Raw genomic sequence first — 21,566 nt, 5'->3', positions numbered from 1 at the left:
CCCTTTTTAATAAATATTGTAAAAAAAAAAGTTAGCTTAATTTCATCCTCAAAAATTATCTTAGTTAATTCTCAAAATTTATTTCAATTATAAAATTATTCTTTTATTTATTTGTTTATTTATTTACATTTTGAGACAGAGTCTTGCTCTGTCACCCAGGCTAGAATACAGTGGCTCGATCTCAGCTCACTTTAACCTCTGCCTCCCCAGTTTAAGCAATTTTCCTGCCTCAGCCTCCCAAGTAGCTGGGATTACAGGCATGTGCTACCACACCCAGCTAATTTTTGTATTTTTAGTAGAGACAGGGTTTCACCATGTTGGCCAGGCTGGCCTTGAACTCCTGACCTCAAGTCATGTGCCCCTCTCGGCCTCCTAAAGTGCTGGGATTACAGGTGTGAGCCACGGTGCCTGGCCTGAAAAAAAAAATTATTCTTAATTGCAATTATGACTTTATTATAATTTTTTCCATAAGACTTTTTTTAAACAACAAAATATTATAGAATCAATTTCAGTGGATTGCAGCCTTAAATTTATTTCCTAAGAATACTCACAAAACATTGAATTTTTGCTCTAAGATATTACTATTGAAAACTTGTTTAAATTGCAATTTAAAATTTATTATTACTGCATAAAAATATTATGAAAAAATGTGAATAAATAATGTAAGTTACCTCAGCAAAATTTACAAGTATTAATTTTTTCTGTTAAGAAGAAAAAGTTAATGCCCTTAATATTTGGAGATTGGTTTATTGTAGTTGCAATATGAATGTTTATAAGCAAAGATTCTCAGTCTTAAAGAATGTATTATTTGAAGAGTTAAGACAGAAGAAAATGTCTGATTGTTCTGAATATTCACGATAAATAATTGAAATGTTAAAAAATGTTTACATAAAAATATCAATATATTGGATTATGAGTGGGGTAGGGCAGGGATAAGGAAAGAGACTAAAATAAATTACCCGGGCAAAGAAGAAACAAATTCATAAAGAGAGGTGGTAACACATTGTCAGGAGATAGCTTGAGGCAAAATAGGTGAAAATCACAAAGAGGCAAGAAGCACAGAAAGGGAAACAAAATTGCAGAGGAATAACAAAAGCAAAGACTTAATAGTTATTCTGCGTGGGACATGTTGACAGCATGCCAAAAGAATTAGGATCTCATCAGTCTGGAGGCCTAAAGACTGTAGAGTAGGAAAAAACAGATAAATGGAGTCTATAAAGAAAGTCAAGAGAACAAACTGATTTTGAAGGGAATATTATGTTCCTGCCAAAATCCCTTGACTCAAAAAAGAAAAGACAGATGATCCCTCCTGTTACATGACAGTTGGGTCATAATCTCTGTTTTATTCAGAGATAAGAATGAAAGTATTTTTAAGTCAATCCATAGAAGATCTAGGACACCATCTATCCATCAAGAGAAAGGTTGACCCTTTACTGAAAAAGAAGTCTTGAAACAGTAATCATGGACTATTTCTTTAGAATTAAAAAAAGTGAGAATAATGAAATAGTCCTGATAAATATTTATTTTATTTATGATTTAAGCAGTGCGTCTAAGCATTTGAATTATTGACTTGACCTCTTACATTTTCAAACGCAATAAAAGCTCTCTTAGCCGACTTTTATTTAACTGACTTACCTGATGAACTGACACTTTCCCTTAATACAGCTGACACCCATAACTCACCTATTCTCAAATAAATACATACATTTCTGCTCCCACCATTTTATGTTTACCAACTTTAGTTGTGTTTGTTCTCCAATTTATTTATCACACTAGTACCTAAAATTGTAACCACACAATATTGTATAATTGTGGTACTGTAAATATATACTAAGCTGAATAGAAAGAAAAGGATGTAAAGAATTGTTTTATGATTAAGTACATCAGTCCTAGACTGCAGTACCTTATGAGGATCATTCGCACTAAAGTCCATTAAAATGATGTGAAAACAGTATTATTATTATTACTCTCAAAATTTATATGAAAAGTAAAATAAACTTTCTTAAAAACTCACTTGTATCTAGTAAAAACATATTCAGTTCTCCTAGTTGCTAAGCTTTGTTACTTGGGCAGGTTACTTTACCTCTCTGAGTCTCTGTTCCCACAATATTTAATGAGAAGTGTTTTGCTCCAGTATGACTACAACTTTCATCTCCCTTCCTACATGCTCTTCTTACATTATTACTTAATCTTGCCCCTATGAAGCAGTGATTAAATATCCTGTTTCCTGGATCCTGAGTATGTCTTTGTGATTGCCACAGATACATAGAATGGTGAATGTGACCACTTGTGACTTCTAGGCTAGATCATAAAAGCCTCCAGCTGGTTCTTTTGGGAATCTTTCCTCCTGAAATCCAAAACATGTTGTGTGGAAGCCAACGCTAGCCCTGGCAAAAAAAAAAAAAAAAAAAAAGGAAAAAGAAAAAAAACAGTTAGGTCCATGTAAAGGGGAAATAAGCCCCTTGCTTTCAGCAGTGGCTGAACACTTAGCCAACAGTGAGCACCAATTGAGACAGCCATGTGTATGAGGTATCTGGGAATTAAATTCTTCAGTCCCCAGGCAAACTGTCCCAGTTGATGTTATATGAAGCAGAAATTAGCCTTCCATACCTATCTCTATTCAAACTGCAATTTCATGGAGCTTATAAATTATTGTTTTTATAGGTCACTATATTTCCAGATTTGTAATGCAAGAAAACTAAACTGAAGCCAAGAAAATAATCTTACATGCTCTTTAAGGTTGTTAATAATATTGATTATAATAATAAATGTTAAATTCACAGCACAGTGCCAATTACATTGTAAATACAGCACAGAGTGTTTCTTTACCCTTTTTATAGCTCTTGTTATGATAAACTCTAAACTTTATTCAATGGTGAGTATATTCATCTAGAACTTGGTTACTTTGCTAAATGGTTGTACAGATATTTGACTGACAGCTAACAGGATTTTAAAAAATTATCTCAAGGATCAGCATTATTCTGATAGCAAAATCTGAAAAAGATGATAAGAAAACTCATGGTCTCTTTACATGCAACGGCGGGTTATTTTGGCCAGAAAGGTTCACCTAGAAATAGACAATTTGCAACAATGACAATATGGGAGAAAGTTATTGCTCATTTAGTTATCAAATTTGCTAGCAAATAACAAATAAATTTAATTTTGGCTAATATACAAAATTCCAAAAAATTAATCATACATTTTTCTATTTAAAAAACTCATTAATAGTGTTATAAAAATCAAAAGAACACAATTAAATATGTGAGATATTATTGCATCAATTTAAATTACGTATTTTGAACCTACCTGTAAAGCTATGTTTTGTTGTATTTGAAGTTAGCTTTTGGGGCACAAAACCTTTTCACTTTCTTTTGTTTTAAAGATTAATATTTCATTTACTGAAATAAATTTTAAACAATGTTTTTAATTTTTAAATTAAATTTAAGTAACCTTATTATTCCCTATAAAACTCATAAATCTTTATATAACTTTGAGGAGTTTGCACTTGGGTAAATAAGTTTCCTTAAAAAATTTAAATTTAATTAAAATTATACATCATATATTCAATTTTCTTCTTCAATCTAGCAAATGTATAATTTAAATACTAGCACAGAATGTTTCTAAGACCCAACACAAGAACAGTGATGCTTTGTGTTTGAATCAAATTATTCATCATCATCATCATCATCTTCAATTCTTTTTTTTTTTTTTTTGAGACAGAGTTTCACTCTTTTTCCCCAGGCTGGAGTACAATGGCGTGATCTCGGCTCACTGCAACCTCTGCCTCCCGGGTTCAATAATTCTCCTGCCTCAGCCTCCCAAGTAGCTGGGATTACAGGCATGCACCACGACTCCTGGCCAATTTTTTTTTTGTATTTTTAGTAGAGATGGAATTTCACCATGTTGACCAGGCTGGTTTCGAACTCCTGACCTCAGGAGATCCACCTGCCTTAGCCTCCCAAAGTGCTGTGATTACAGGTGTGAGCCACTGCGCCCAGCCTGAACTTCAATTCTAAGCACCCAAATTTAAAGATGTCCACTAAGAAAATGGAAGTCACCATCCCAAAATTTTGTGGGATGATTTCTCTGTGGGCTGAAGTTGTTATTAGCCAAGATGGCATATCTAGAGAGAAACATTCAGCACAATTTTTATCTTTTTGTTTAAGTAGTATGCTGAAGAGACAAGAGTAGATAATTAAGATCTGCTAACCTCCACATAGGTTATTTTATCATTTCAATAGATTCAATTAATCTTCTTAATAGAGGACTATTTTGAATTCTATGTATATCTTTCCTGTAATGTTAGATCTTAACTTTTACAGACTTTAAAAATACACATAATTTAGGAATCTTTCACATTTTTGTCTGGTTTTACACTAAATATTTCTAATGCAACTTCATAGTACTCATTCAAACATCCTTGAAGCATTTAAAAAGGGAATACCTCAACTTACTTAAGAAAACTATTACAGCTATTAGGACTTAATAACTCTAATAGCTGTAAAAGCCTGTACACACAGAAACACACACACACACTCATGCACACACACACAGAGGAATGATCATGGTAGAAATATTCTCGACTCTTTTTGTATCATTTATGTGCGTGAGGCTGCTAGAAATAAAACAATAAATTGTCTAGGTATCCTACTTAAAGTTGTTGAATTGTTCAATATTTGAACTATGAATTGGGAAAAAAATCTCATAATTTATAAATTTTTAAATTAAATGAAACTCTCTTACTATGCTATAATATTGCTTCATTAAATGTATTCCCACTTACTGTTGGGATTTCTGCAAAGTCTTGTTGTTATAATATTTCAGTAAAGCATAAACAAATCTAATTTGGCAAATCATTTCTGTGCTATGGTAAGGCCTATCAGAGGAACTGCTAATTTATATTACCTACTGTACTAGCCAGGGTTTCCTACAGAGTCAGAACCAGTAGGATGGATATATGTATCCCATAGACAGATAGATAAATAGATGAGATGGAATTTATTAGTGGAACTGGCTCACATGATTACAGAGGCTGAGAAGTCTCACAATAGCCCATCTACATGCTGGAGAACCAGGGAAGCCGATAGCCTGTTTCAAAGTCCCCAAACCTCAAACCAGATGGCATAACTCTCAATCTAAGGCTAAGGGCCCAATAGCCCAGGGGGCTACAGGTGCAAATCCTACAGTCCAAAAGCCAGAGCATCTGGAGTTCCGACATCCAAAGGCAAGAAACAATGAGTGGCCGAGCTCCAGAAGACAGCAAAAATTTGCCCTTCCCCTGCCTTTTTGTGCTAGTCAGGCCCCCAGTCGATTGCCTAGTGCCTAGCCATATGGAGGGCAGATCTTCCCTACTCAGTCTACCAACTCAAATGCCAACATCCTCTGGAAGCACCCCTCACAGACACACTCAGAAATAATGCTTTCCAGTTATTGAATTATCCCTTAATCCAGTCAAGTTGACATGTAAAAATTAACTAGCACAGCTACCTAACATCCAGGGACTACACAAAATCTCTTTCTTAATAAGTAAGAAAGTTATTCTCTGTTTTGCTTAAATCATTCTTCTCTATTAGTATACTTTAAAATAGAAACTAGCAGTTTTATCAAAAGATTAATTAAAAAGTGCTGATAAGCGTGTATAAGTAATTCCTCAACAAAATTTACATATGAAAATTTCTTGATAAACAAATAATGATTACTCTTTCCTTGGAAAATAACATTATGCCAGCGAAAATCTATTTTACAGTGCATTTAGTTTTTACATTTAATTGTAAATTATTTAATTAAGTTCCTTATTATGAACACTTGAATATTTGGAGAATTTAATATTTTCTTTTGAAAATTCAACAAAATGTATTTTGGGAGTAAATAATCATATAAATATTTAAAATTTAAAGTATATAGCAGTATGATTATAATCATCATAGAAAACATAATTCTTTTATAATTTATTTTATGAGAAATGTATTGCCTTGAACATGACAGTCATTCTCTGAGGCAAAAATCCTTTGTCACATGTGAAATACTTAAAGCAAATAACCTGAATTATCTTCAACAAATGTCTTAAAAAGTGTTGTCTGCCCTTGGAGGTTAAATAAAACAGACAAAAACTGAATAAATGAGAGTTCATGCTGTTTCTTTACAATGTTACACATACTTCAAAATGATACATGATTTTGAAAAATAAAAACGTTAATGAACAGTTTTTGTTTTTACCTATATGTGTGTATGTCATTTATATAAAATAGCTGGTAGTATCATGTTATATGCAATATTCTATTTTTTCTCACTTAATGATACACAATGGTTCAAATTCTTAATTCACAACATCAAATATATTACCAAATAACTCACAAAAGGAAAAATAACTTAAGATATATGTTTAAATATATTCATACTTCTTACTTAACATCTTCTGTTCATTTGTTTATTCATTCAATTAACAAAATCTTTTTCCTTGTTAAATATCAAGGACATAATGGTGACAATATATGAATTTTAATAATGACTTTTGGGACGAATATATTTTTGAGCAAGCTTCCTTGCATTTCTATCCCAGCTCTACAATACTATATGTCATTGAAAAAACTATAGATCTTTGCTAAGCATATTATTTATCCTATATAATATGACATAAGTAATAGCATAGTCAGTTCTCCTATAATGCAATCTATGCATTTGGAAGAATTATAACAAAATGCAAAATCATGTGGTAATAACCATAAATGTTTGGAGAAAATTGGAACTAAGACATAACAGTTAAACACTTTTTTAGTGACACACAGAAATAAAAATAAAGAAAGCTACTAAAATATTAGCACAGTTTTACTCTTCTTAAGTTACTAAGATGCTACAGTAAATGTAGGACAGTATCTTGGGGGAAAAACAAGTTTGCTTGTGAAAGTGGAAGTTGGAATCATTACAGCTTAAGGTTGTACTTATCAGCAACTGAGAATTGGTAGAAGGAGGATTATCTGAAGGAGAGTTATTGATGTATTTCAAATGTAGAGAAGAACATTAGAAAATCTGTAGACATCAACCATACCTAGATATTCAAGAAATTCAATACAATATTTCAAAATTGGAGTTGAACAAGAGAAAATGGAAAGCCACTAAACAGTGAAATCACAAGGTTTCATTTTAACTTTAGAAAGACTACTAGATGTACAGTGAGAAAATTATATTGGTGTTAGAAATCATTATGATAGGAAGTCATATAAGAGAGATTATACAGGACTAAGCGAGATCATAAAACATTTAAATAAAGACAGCAACTGGGTGATAGATATCAGTGGAGGTATTTAAATAATGTTTAGAAAATATAAGAGTAGTTTTGATGGATGCTTTGATATAGCCTTGGGATAAAAAGATAGGATCAACAAAGAGGCAGAGTTTTTTTTGGCAACTGGGCATATAGTGGCCTCAAAGCAGACACAATAACTGATTTATTGAGAGTGGGATGGCATCATTTTTAAGTTCCCTGTGGGTCATCCATATAGAGTCTTCAAGGATACAATTGAATTAAAAAATACTAATCAGGAGAGTGGTGTGACAACAGTCAAGGTATGAAAAGCTGAGAAAGAATAACTAAGTTGCTTCTAATAGAGCAATTAGAAAAATGACTGAGGAGTTCACACTTAACTAGTAATACTGAAATCATTTTCAATTCTTGCAAAAATAATTTAAATTTGGGCGGCAGCACAGATCATAGAATATACGGAGTTGTGTAATAAGGTGAGGCAACAAGAAATGTAAAAGCTTTTTGAGTAATTATGATTGTTAGTATGAAGAGACATTATAGTTGGAGATAATTTGTTTTGTTGTCATTGCTGTTTTTGTTTATTTGTGTAATGGATTGATGTGTATCTCTTTATGTGTTAAAGGGAAGATGCCCCTAATGAGAAATAATTGATTATATATGAGAAAGTTTTGTCAGTGGTGTTCCAGAGTGGGGAAAAACAGTCCCAAAACACAAATAAAAAAATTACCTTTGACCTAAAAAGATATATGTCTTTTATTATAATTGGAGAAAGAGTGGAGAAAAGACACAATTATTTCACTGTTACAGTAGTATGAGATTGAAAGTAGTCTTTTCTGATTGCCTCACTTAAGAAAGGAGACTATATTAGCCCTTTGTCAGATGGATAGACTGCAAAAATTTTCTCCCATTCTGTAGGTTGCCTGTTAACTCTGATGATACTTTCTTTTGCTGTGAAGAAGTTCTTTAGTTTAATTAGATCCCATTTTTCAATTTTGGCTTTTGTTACCATTGCTTTTGCTGTTTCCGTCATGAAGTCTTTGCCCATGCCTATGTCCTGAATGGTATTGCCTAGGTTTTCTTCTAGGGTTTTTATGGTCTTATGTTTAAGTCTTTAATTGATCTTGAGTTAATTTTTGTAGAAGGTGTAAGGAAGGGATCCAGCTTCAGATTTCTGCATATGGCTAGCTAGTTTTCCCAACACCATTTATTAAATAGGGAATTCTTTCCCCATTGCTTGTTTTTGTTAGGTTTGTCAAAGATCAGATGGTTGTAGACGTGTGGTGTTATTTCTGAGGCCTCTGTTCTGTTCCATTGGTCTATATATCTGTTTTGGTACCAGTACCATGCTGTTTTGTTACTGTAGCCCTGTAGTATAGTTTGAAGTCAGGTAGCGTGATGCCTCCAGCTTTGTGCTTTTTACTTAGCATTGTCTTGGCTATGCGGGCTCTTTTTTGGTTCCAAGTGAAATTTAAAGTAGTTTTTTCCAATTCTGTGAATAAAGCCAATGATAGCTTGATGGGGATATCATTGAATCTATAAAATTACTTTGGGCAGTATGGCCATTTTTACGATATTGATTCTTTCTATCCATGAGCATGGAATGTTTTTCCATTTGTTTGTGTCCTCTCTTATTGCCTTGAGCAGTGGTTTGTAGTTCTCCTTGAAGAGGTCCTTCACTTCCCTTGTAAGTTGGATTCCTAGGCATTTTATTCTCTTTGTAGCAATTGTGAATGGGAGTTCACTTATGATTTGGCTCTCTGTTTGTCTGGTTTTGGTGTATAGGAATGTTTCTGATTTTTGCACATTGATTTGTATCCTGAGACTTTGCTGAAGTTTCTTATCAGTTTAAGGAGATTGTGGGTTGAGATGATGGGGTTTTCTAAATATACAATCATGTCATCTGGAAACAGAGACAATTTGACTTACCCTTTCCTAATCAAATACACTTTATTTCTTTCTCTTGTCTGTTTCTCCTGGCCAGAACTTCCAATACTATATTGAATAGGAGTGGTGAGAGAGAGCATCCTTGTCTTGTGCTGGTTTTCAAAGGGAATGCTTCCAGTTTTCGCCCATTCAGTATGATATTGGCTGTGGGTTTGTCATAAATAGCTCTTATTATTTTGAGATACGTTCCATCGATACTTAGTTTACTGACAGTTTTCAGCAGGAAGGGCTGTTGAATTTTGTCGAAGGCCTTTTCTGCATCTGTTGACATAATCATGGGATTTTTGTCATTGGTTCTATTTATGTGATGGATTACGCTTATTGATTTCCATATGTTGAACCAGCCTTGCATCCCAGGGATGAAACTGACTTGATCCTGGTGGATAAGCTTTTTGTTGTGCTGCTGGATTCGGTTTGCCAGTATTTTATTGAGGATTTTCACATTGATGTTCGTCAGGGATATTGGCCTAAAATTTCCTTTTTTGTTGTTGTGCCTCTGCCAGGTTTTGGTATCAGGATGATGCTTGCCTCATAAAATGAGTTAGGGAGGATTCCCTCTTTTTCTATTGATTGGAATAGTTTCAGAAAGAATGGTACCGGTTCCTCTTTGTACCTCTGGTACAATTTGGCTGAGAATTCCTCTGGTCCTGGGATTTTTTCAGTTGGTAGGCTATTAATTACTGCCTCAATTTAAGAACTTGTTATTGGTCTATTCAAGGATTCGACTTCTTCATGGTTTAGTCTTGGAAGGGTGTATGTGTCCAGGAATTTATTCATTTCTTCTAGATTTTCTAGTTTATTTGCACAGTGGTGTTAATAGTATTCTCTGATAGTAGTTTGTATTGCTGTGGGATCTGTGGTGCTATCCACTTTATCATTTTTTACTGTGTCTATTTGATTTTTATCTCTTTTCTTCTTTATTAGTCTGGCTAGCTGTCTATCTATTTGCTGATCTTTTCAATAATCTAATTCCTGGATTCATTGATTTTTTGAAGGTTTTTCATGTCTATCGCCTTCAGTTCTGCTCTGATCTTAGTTATTTCTTGTCTTCTGCTAGCTTTTGAATTTGTTTGCTCTTGCTTCTCTAGTTCTTTTAATTGTGATTTTAGAGTGTTGATTTTAGAACTTTCCTGCTTTCTCTTGTGGGCATTTAGTGCTATAAATTTCCCTCTACACACTGCTTTAAATGTGTCCCAGAGATTCTGGTACATTGTGTGTTTGTTCTCATTCGTTTCAAAGAACATATTTATTTCTGCCTTCATTTCATTATTTACCTAGTAGTCTTTCAGGAGCAGGTTGCTCAGTTTCCATGCAGTCGTGTAGTATTGAGTGAGTTTCTTAATCCTGAATTCTGATTTGATTACACTGTGTTCTGAGAGACTTCGTTATGATTTCCATTATTTTGCATTTGCTGAAGAGTGTTTTACTTCAAAGAACTTAAACAAATTTACAAGAAAAAAAACAACTCCATCAAAAAATGGGCAAAGAATATGAACAGACACTTTTTAAAAGAAGACATTTAGGCAGCCAACAAACATGAAAAAAGTGCTCATCATCACTGGTCATTAGAGAAATGGAAATCAAAACCACAATGAGATACCATCTCACAGTAGTTAGAATGGTGATCACTGAAAGGTCAGGAAACAACAGATGCTGGAGAGGATGTGGAGAAATAGAAATGGTTTTACACAGTTGGTGAGAATGTAAATTACTTCAATCATTGTGGAAGACAATGTGGTGATTCCTCAAGGATTTAGAACTAGGAATATCATCTGACCCAGCAATCCCATTACAGGGTATACACCCAAAGGATCATAAATTATTCTACTATAAAGACACATGCACACGTATGTTTATTGTGTCACCATTCACAACAGCAAAGACTTGGAACCAACCCAGATGCCCATCAATGATAGATTGGATAAAGAAAATGTGGCACATATACCCCATGGAATAGTATGCAGCCATAAAAAGGACAAGTTCATGTCCTTTGCAGGGACATGGATGAAGCTGGAAACCATAATTCTCAACAAACTAACACAAGAACAGAAAACCAAACACCACATGTTCACACTCATAAGTGGGAGTTGAACAATGAGTATACGTGGACATAGGGAGGGGAACATCACACACCGGGGCCTGTCGGCAGTTGGGGGGCTAGGGGAGAGATAGTATTAGGAGAAATACCCAATGTAGATGATGGATTGATGGGTGCTGCAAACCACCATGGCACATGTATACCTATGTAACAAACATTCACATTCTGCACATGTACCCCAGAACTTTAAGCATAGTAAAAAAAATGCACTTCCATTTTCTCATCAATCAAATTACCAAAAATTTAGAGAGAGGAATCAGTCCAGGAAAACATGGGGAAACAAGCCCTCTCCTAGATTGGTCCTATGTGTCTAATGATCTTTTTGAAAAAGTGTATGTACACACACGCACACGCACACATACCTTTTGAATCAGCATTTTACTATGTGGAATATATTATAAGAAAATAACTGAATAGCTATGTAAAGTATATGTAAAGGAATGTTTATCACTGCTTATTTGAAAACAATTAATAACCTAAATGTTCAGCAATAGCAGATGGCTAACTGAATTATTTTATTTATATGATAGAATAACATTCATTAAAATGACCTATGTCTATTTTGACATGGAAGTACATTTATGAGATATTGTCAAGTAAGTTATAATATGGTCCAAATTTATAAAAAAAGTATATTCATAAATTATCGTAAGAGAAATTTTACATATATCCATAAGAATATAAAGTATTCATTTCTACTTGTGAATATTGTCCAACTTTTCTGAAAAGAACACTTATTAAATGTGGGAGCAAAATGGGAGAAACTTGCCCTCACCCCTGATAGCTGCCGTGCTTGCTTGCTTCTGTCCCTGCCCTCAGTAAACATTGAGCACGCTGAAGACCATTTGGAAAAAAAAAAAAAAAAAGAGAATATATTGTTTGACAGTATATGGGGAACAGATTTTAAACAGATTGGGACACTCATATACAATACTCACAATGTCATGCATTTTTTGGATTGCGTTCTAAATTACCTTATGTGTTTTCTAAGAGTGTGCAGAATATTTTATTTCCACCTCTTTGTAATAGATAGAGTTTAGAACAGATGTAAATTCTTAAATAGCCCATCTTTTCTTTAGAGTGGTTAAGGAGCATTAAACATATTCTGAAAAAAAGCAGTACATTAACTTAAAACTCTATAATGATAAAGAGACAAAAATCATAAATCAATATTAAAATAATAAATATGTGTAAAAATATCAGTGGCTTAAGAAAATGTTGCTTTATCTTCTAATTAATGCAAAGATTTTTTATTTCTGTAAATATTTTCATTCAATTTGAAACCAATCAAAAGGATATTATAATGTCTAAAAAATATTTAATAAGTGAATAGAACCCAGTTGATAGTAGTGCAACAAAAAAAAAGTAAAAAATGGAATCTGAAGCTGCTGTTAGCAATTTGTAAATGTGTCAAAAATATGTGACAGAGGAGAAACAATTTCTTCTGCCTAAATTGTCATCCTTGGCCTATTATGCCAGGTACATGTATTTAGACACTTTCAATGAGTTATCAAGGGATCATATTCCAAAGTCATGTGTTGTTTGGGAATTCAAGCTGAGTGGCCTGATGTACTAAATATTCTGGTATGGCTAATGAGCGAAATCTCAGGAAGAAAATCTAACCTGTCAGCTTCTTGATTTTGAGTACTGTGACCTAAACTCACATATGCCAAGGTCTCTGCAATGCCAGGAGGCAGTTTGGGGGATTTAATGCCATAGATACAGTTATAATTAATTTGATTTAATCTCATTAAATCTTTTCAGTGATCTGTGGCACATTTACCTTTGTTAGAACAAACTAGTTTAGATATTTTGTCTCCATGTGGGTGAATGTATACACACACAGAAGTACACATACATATTTTCAAAAGCTTTTAGCTTTAATCTTTGCTAATGTTGTAAGCATAAATAAAAACCAAGAAAATTCTACAGCAAAACAAATAATAGTATAATTGTTCTGTATAATTTGGCTCATTTTTGAGATTTGATATTCAATTTCGAGTGTGCCGTAAGTCCTTAGATACTTTACAGATAGTACATAACTGATGCCTTAGTCAATCTTGATAGGTATTACCTGCAGGCTTTACATGTGTTCATATTTGTGTAGTAACAGTAATACTACTACAGATGTTCCTCAACTTACAATGCAGTTACACCCAGATAAACCCACCTTGAGTTGAAAATATTGTAAGTGGAGAATATGTTTAATACAACTAACATACCCAGCATCATAGCTACGCCTAGGCTACCTTAAATGTTCCCAAGACACTTATGTTAGCTTAAAATTGGGCAAATTTTCTAACACAAAGCCTATTTTATAATAAAGTATCAGATATCATATGGTTGTTTATCTTTGTGATCACCTGCTGACTGGGAGCTGTGGCCTACTGCTACTGCCCATTATCCTGAGAGAGAATCATACCACATATTGCTAGCCTGGAAAAAGAGCAAAATTCAAAATTTGAAGTAGAATTTCTACCAAATGCATGTTGCTTTTGCATCACCATAAGGCTGAAAAATTGTCAGGTAAACCATTGTAAGTTGGGACTGTCTGTATTCCTACTCCTCTTTCTGGATACTCTGCTATAAAGCTTTAATATATTACCTGATTTCCATTGTACAGAGAATTTAAAATACAGAATATAATTTAACATTTCAAAGTTTAATCTTTACCACTAAGTAAATAATAGAAAATTAATCTTACAGTGACATCAACTGATACAATTCTATTGTTTTTCTATTATTAAATATATATAAACAGGCCAGGAGCAGTGGCTCACACCTGTAATCCCAGCATTTTGGGAGGCTGAGGTGGGCCGATTGCCTGAGCTCAGGAGTTCGCTACCAGCCTGGCCAACATGGTGAAACCCTGTCTCTACTAAAAATACAAAAAAGTAGCAAGGCGTGGCAGCATGCACCTGTAGTCCCAGCTACTTGGAAGACAGAAGCAGGAGAATTGCTTGAACCCCAGACATGGAGGTTTCAGTGAGCCAAAATCACGCCACTGCACTCCAGTCTGGATGACAGAGCAAGACTCCGTCTCAAAAAAATTATATATATATATATATAAATATATAATATATAATATATATAATATATAATATATAATATATATAATATATAATATATAATATATATAATATATATAACATATATTATATATTATATATAATATATTATATAATATATAATATATGTTATATATATTATATATATAAAATTTTATATATATAAAATATATACTATATATACATATATATAGTACTCGTTTTATAAAATTAAGCATTCAATGTCATTATTGTATTTGTTCTACTATCCTATTTTATTTATTTTGCCATAGAAACACCTCACCCTTTGCTTGTAAGTCTTAGTTATGCAACATGGCTTTTCAGCCAAACAGCATATTTCCCAGCCTGACTTGCAACTACATATGGCCATGTGGCTAAGTTCTTATGGGTGGAATGTGAGTAGAAGAAAAGCAAGCAACTCTGAGATAATTTTCCCTTGGCCCTCACTGTCTTTCTTCTTTCTTGGAGGCTGAAATATTTTTGTGATAGTGACAACAGCTTTGACTATGTAGATAAGGGCACCACTCTGAGGAAGGTGGAGTGACAGGCTTCAAAGTTGGAAACACTTAATGAGCTCATGAAGCTACAGCTTCACTTTTTCTGGACTGCTAAGTATTAATAATTAAAAAGATAAGTCTTTTCTTATTTGAGCCATGTATATTTTGAGATTCTTTGTCAAGACAAGTTAAGCTGTACTGTAAACAATATGTTTGGTTTCAACAAAAATATGGAAATACAGGTTACCTCAAATAATTTCCAGGGTTCTCCAAGAAATCTGAAAAGAGAAGTTATTCATAGTGTTGCATACTGATAGTTTAACTACTTTTCATGTGTTAACAATGTTTCTAATTTTCTTTATATATCAGAGAAGCATATCTGAAAAGCATGCAGGTATCATATTGCTTTTACTTGGATGTTTTTACAAGTGATGAGTCAGGGTAATTAAAGTTTATTCTTTGAAGGTGGAAAGAATGTCACTTTTTATATGATAAGTTTTCTATAATATTTAATCTTTTAATAAATTATAATTTTTATTATATTACTAAAATGTTTTTAATACCTAAAAATTACTTCTATTCAAAAAGAAGTATAGATAATAAGTCTATTGAAATGATAAAATGGAATCATACAAAAATGCTCAATTTATACAAAAGGCAGAAAAAGAGAAAAACAAGAACCTAGAGATAAAGTCATAATTATTGATAAGAAACTTGATGCTATTCCAAGAAGATCAATAGCAAAGCAAAAATGTCCCCTCTCACCACTACTGTTTAGCATCATTCTACAAATCCTAGCTAATGCAAAAGGATAAGAAAAGGAAACAAAAGGAATGCAGATAAGGGAGGAAGAAATAAAATTGTCTTTGTTCACACATGACAGATATATTTGCTGACAGATGACAGATTTTCTGGATTTGTCTAACTAGAAAATCTCAAATAATATACAAATTTGAGAAGTGTCTAGAACTAATAAAAGATTACAGCAAGATTGTGGGATAAAAGGTTAATGTATTTGGCAGTTAAAAACACAACAACACTTACATATGCACCAAAGTAAAGAAAATACTTAGTTATAAATCTAACAAAATATGTACAAAGAAATACATACAAAATCAATGATCTAAATAGATATTCCATGTTCATGGATAGGAAGAGTCAATATTTTTATATTGTCAGTTTTTCCTAATTGATTAACAGATTTAATGCAGACCCAATAAAAACACCAAAAAGTTACTTTGTAAGTTTTAAAGTTTATATGAAATAGTAAAATAAATAGATTGGCAACACAATACCAAATACATAAATGTCAGAGGACTGGCACTACTACCTGACTTAAGGACTTACTATAAAGTTACTTACTAGCAAACAAAATAGTATTTGTGAAAGTATAGACAAATAGATGAATGGAATAAAATAGAGAGGCCAGAAATAGTTCCACAAATATATTGTCAACTAGTCTTTGACAATGAAGCAAAATTAATTCAACAGATAAAGGACAGCTCTTTCAACAAATGTTTCTGGAACAACTAGAAATCCATGTGCAAAAAAAAAATAAATCTAGGCTCAGAACTTACACCTTTTATACAAAATAACAAAGTAAATCATAGATCTAAATGTAAAATACCAAACTCTAGCAGGTCTAGAAGATAGTTTAGGAGTACATATGGATCACTTTGGATTTACCAATTACTTTTTGGATATAACACCAAAAACACAATACCTGGAAGAAAGAATGAAATGTTAGAGTTGACTAAAATTAAAAACTTCTGCTTTGTGAAGATGCTGTTAAGATAATGAAGAGACAAGCAACAGATAGGGACATCTTTGTGAAACATATCCAATAAAAAACTACTATCCAAAATATACAAATAACTCTTAAAACTCAACAATAAGACAATAAACAACTGAATTTTAAAATGAGTAAAAATCAGGACACTTCATCAAAGAAAACATACAGATAACAAATAAATATATATAAAAGATATTCAATATAATTTATCATTCAGGAATTGCAAATTGAAACAATGAGTTACCACCACACATATGTTAGAATGGCTAAAATCCAAAACATTGACAGTACCAAGTGCTGACAAGTATGTGAAGCAGTGAAGGGGAACTCTCATTCATTGCTGGTGGGAGTGGAAAATAAAACAGCCATTTTGAAAGACAGTTTTGTGGTTTCTTACAAAGCTAACCATAGTCTTACCATATGATCCAGCCAGAGAAACCAGATATTTACTCAATTTGATTAAAATTTATGTTTATACAAAAAGCCTACACACAAATGTAGTTTTACTCATAATTGCCAAAAATTAAAAGTAACCAAAGTGTTCTTTAATAGGTAAATAGAAAAACAAACTATGGTACATTCATTCAATAGAAAAAGAAGCATTGACATAAAGAAATGGCCTAATAAACTATTAAAAGACTTGGAGGAATCTTAAATGCATATTGCTAAGTGAAAGAAGACAGTCTGAAAATACTACATATTGCATAATTCCAATTATATGACAACTTGGGAAGAAAAATCTGTAGAGAGAGTAAAAAGATAAGTGATGTCCAGGGCTTTGGGGTTGGGGGAAGGGATAAATAGGAGAAGCATAGAGGATTTTAGGGTGGTAAAACTATTCTGTGTGACACTGTAATGTTGGATTCATAATGATGCTTTTGTAAAGCTCATGGAGGTATACAAGACAAAGATTGAACCCAAATATTAACTATGTTCCATAGTTAATAATAATATATTAATATTGATTCATCATTTAATACAAATGTTCTATACAAATGCAAGATGTTAATAAAAATAAGACTTTGTGTGGTTGGTGGTAAAGAAGGTAGCTGGAAACTCTTCATACTCTGTGAAACTGCTTTGTAAAACTAAAAACTTTCTAATAAATAAAGTCCATTAAAATATGCTATCTGATTGGTTAAATACTAAAATGTTCAAAATATTTTAAAATTTATTCCCTCATTTGATAATTTTAGTGTTTATGTGCATCCATAAAATAAGAAATTGTTAACATTTTTATTTCACTCTGCTTAGAAAATGTAATGATTCTTAATTCTCACCCTCATATGGTGTGCTAAAACATTTATCTTCAATTATTTTTTGCTTCCCCCAATATTAAGGAAAAAAAATACTAAGGCCATAAAACAGCCATTTCTGAGGTCTTTAAAAATGTGTAAAAGCATACTTTTAAAAAGTTAAATAACAGAAGATTCAACTACAAAATGAAATAACTCCTGGGTAAGAGTTTGAGGCAAAATACTTAAATAAAATGAAAAATAGAAGTCTAGGTATAATACCTTATTCTAGATCAAAGATAATCTCCAGGAATGAACACCTGATTTTTAAAATAGTTTTTAAAAGATTCAAGATTTTTCATTTTGAAAACTGGCATGCACATGTAAAACCTCAAATATAAGTATCTTCTCTAGCACTGTTAATGCCTCTCTATGTCTGTTCAATTGTTCTCATCTGCTTTTGCTACCACTTTGCCTATGTCTTGCTATTATCCTGTGATTTTTATTATTATTATTTTTTACTACTTTCAGAGTCACATTTCTTACTGGCTTTTTTTAAAAATTATTTTTGTAAAAGATTCTAAGGCCTTTGTATATGTTAGGGCACTTTTTTTCTTTTCCTTCTTTTTATTTTATTGTATTTATTTATTTATTTATTTACTTTTTGAGACAGAGTCTTGCTCTGTCGCCCAGGCTAGGGTGCAGTGGCATGATCTCAGCTCACTGCACCTTGGCCTCCCAAGTTCAAAGGATTCTCCTGCCTCAGCCTCCCAAGTAGCTGGCACCACAGTCACGTGCTACCATGCCCAGCTAATTTTTGTATTTTTAGTAGAGACAGGGTTTCACCATTTTGGCCAGGCTCCTCTCAAACTCCTGACCTCAGGTGATCCACCCACTGTGGCCTCCCAAAATGCTAGGATTACAGGCCTCCCAAAGTGCTAGGATACAGGCACTGCCTTTCTTTTCTTTTTTCTTTCTTTCTTTCTTTTTTTTTTTTTTTTGATACCATAACATTTTATATGATGCTTTTTAAAATATCTTTTATTTGAATGTTTTGGGAAAGTGAAACAGGAAAAGAGAGTCTGCAACAATTAGGTCGCACCACAAGTGCAAAGGGAATGCTAAGGACCTGTAGCTGAAAATATCTGTACACAAGAGACATCAAATATTATTTTCCATGGCTGGGCGTGGTGGCTCACGCCTGTAATCCCAGCACTTTGGGAGATCGAGGCAGCCTGATCACTTGAAATCAGGAGTTCGAGACCAGCTTGGCCAACATGGTGAAACCCCGTCTCTTCTAAAAATACAAGAATTAGCCAGGCGCTGTGGTGAGCATTGTAATCCCAGCTACTCAGGAGACTAAAGCCCAAGAATTGCATAAGCCCATGAGGCGGAAGTTGCAGTGAGCTGAGATGGTGCCACTGCACTCCAGCCTGGGTGACAGAGCAAGAATCCCTCAAAAAAAAAAAAAAATTTCCACTGGGTGCAGGCTTAAGGAATGAACATTTAGCCCAGGAACGTTTGTCGCTGAAGAGGGATCTTGTGCCTTGAGCTTAAATCCCTGTGTATAAGAACTATGTGCAGTTTCCTTTTAACCCTTCCTAACACTACATTTTACATCTAGATGAATATTTAGCTTTCCATTTTCTAACTGGACATTTGTATATACAGAGAACACTGGCATATAAACATTAAATCTGTTCCATTCTCTATGAACCCTTTTTCTTGTTCCTCAAATCATAATGTAAGTTCTTAGTCATCCTTGTTAGAAAGCCAGCATTTATTGATGATCTCTAAAAACTGTCCTGCTTCTAAGTCTAAATCTCATAGCAGATCAACAAGTTTACTAAATTCTCTATTCAAAATGTGCATTTAAAAATTACTTGCAAGTGGACTCAGGGGCAGTGACTCTTTCTCATGAAGAATTAGTATGTTGTTTTCTTTAATACCTGCTTGTAAGCTACATTTGGGCAGGAGCCATATAGTTTTTGTTTACAGTTGAATGCCCAACACAATGCCTGATGTATTGTTCACATGTTAAATTTTCTTGAATGAATTTTCAAATGATTATTTTAACAATAATCTCCATCCCCAACCTGAACTCTTATGATTGATCTGGGTGGTAGATATAGAAATCCCTCCAAAGCTCATCACATTAAAAAATTAGCAATGTCTGTAAATGGCAAAGAAATTTCCTACTGATTGTAAAGATCTACTACAGATAGACTTTTAAAGTTAAGAACTTTAAAAAGCATTTAGATTTTGAAAGACCTATCTGAGGTCCAGTTTGGGAAGAGGAATAGGGAGGAGTGCTAAACTGCCATGCATAAAGTGATCAAGAAATGAGGGGCTGGAGGCTGACCAACAAGGAGAAAAAGATTAAGAAGACCTCTTTTGAAAGAAGTCCAGAATTTAAGGGAGAATGTCCTAAGAAAATCTCCCCATAATAAGTAATAACCAATTGGAAGACTGAGGATTCTAAGGTATGTTCTATATAGTAATATCATTATAATCCCCAAATTCTATCTTGTATGTCAGTCTTGTGTAAACTGTGTTCTAGGTAAATGAGGGCGATTTCTAGCATCCAAAACCCACATCCCGATTACCTTATAAATGTTCTATATCCAATATAATTTAAATTAAACATTTGCTTGTCCTCTTGATTTATAACACAGGAATTTTACTTAAGTCAGGAAAAAGAAAAACTCTCTAGAAAATAAAAGTTTCATATTTATTAAATTTATATTTATAAAATTTCAGGCAAAAAACCTAATTTTATTTAAATCTCTTCTGTACAATTTATTCATATTAAAAACAGATAATGCCCTATCAATTCATAGAGAAAGATCAACTGATATTATCAATTTAGTTTTCAAATGAATCTTTTGACTATTGTAAAACAGCTCAGATAAATTACAAAATTCTTCATCTGATACTATTTTATAAATTCTGTTTAATTATGTGAAGTTTTGAATTTCATATATATATTTATTGAGAATTCAGGTGATAACTAATGTTATAATAATTTTAAAGAAATCTCCAACAAATTCAGTTTCCATTTTAAATATTGCTATTTAAATTTAAGTGTTTTTTTTAGAAAACAATCACACACGAGCCTTACCTAATAAGTACTGTGTAAATTACAATCAAGTAATGTAAGTGTTCTTTTAGAAAATAATCACACATATGAGCCTTACCTAATAAATAGTTTGTAAATTATAATCAAGAAAATTATTTTTTAAAATTTACTTGGTAAATTAAATCTATTAATTCCCCAAGGTGTTGTAAAACCAATTATGGCATTATCCATCTCTCTCATTACCTAAACATAATGCTAGCTGCCTAAAGAGGTACTCCTAGAAACACAGTAAGTGTAAAGGTAGATCAAATAATATTGTAGAAAAAACTGCAGAGAAACAGAGAAATCCTAAAACTGGAGGAACTTATTAAAAGTTATGAGAGAGAGAACAAAACGAACCAGAGAGAAAGAAAGTGAGGGCTATATATAGCTTTACAATTGGCCACTTACCCGCCTCTGCAGCATGTGTAATGATTAATTCTGATTGAAGAACAAAGACTACTGGTTTGATGTGCTTAACTAGCTGAATTCCTAAGAGGAAAATGAACTGACAAGTAAAAAGAGACAGACGATTTTAATTTTGAATAATCTG

General features: G+C 32.9%; 1 long non-coding RNA gene across 1 annotated transcript in view; it reads right to left on the bottom strand.

The window, feature by feature from the left end:
* Nucleotides 1-2,381, bottom strand: part of LOC105377436 (uncharacterized) — a 60,586-nt gene extending 58,205 nt beyond the window's left edge. The window contains exon 1 of the long non-coding RNA XR_939214.2: nt 2,084-2,381. This is a non-coding gene — a long non-coding RNA (uncharacterized LOC105377436). The remainder of the gene's footprint in view (nt 1-2,083) is intronic.
* Between the last annotated feature and the right edge of the window lie 19,185 nt (nt 2,382-21,566).

This window comes from Homo sapiens, chromosome 4 (genome assembly GCF_000001405.40).
Source record: "Homo sapiens chromosome 4, GRCh38.p14 Primary Assembly".
Taxonomy (NCBI): Eukaryota; Metazoa; Chordata; class Mammalia; order Primates; family Hominidae; genus Homo; species Homo sapiens.
This window is presented reverse-complemented; position numbering and strand designations above follow the sequence as displayed.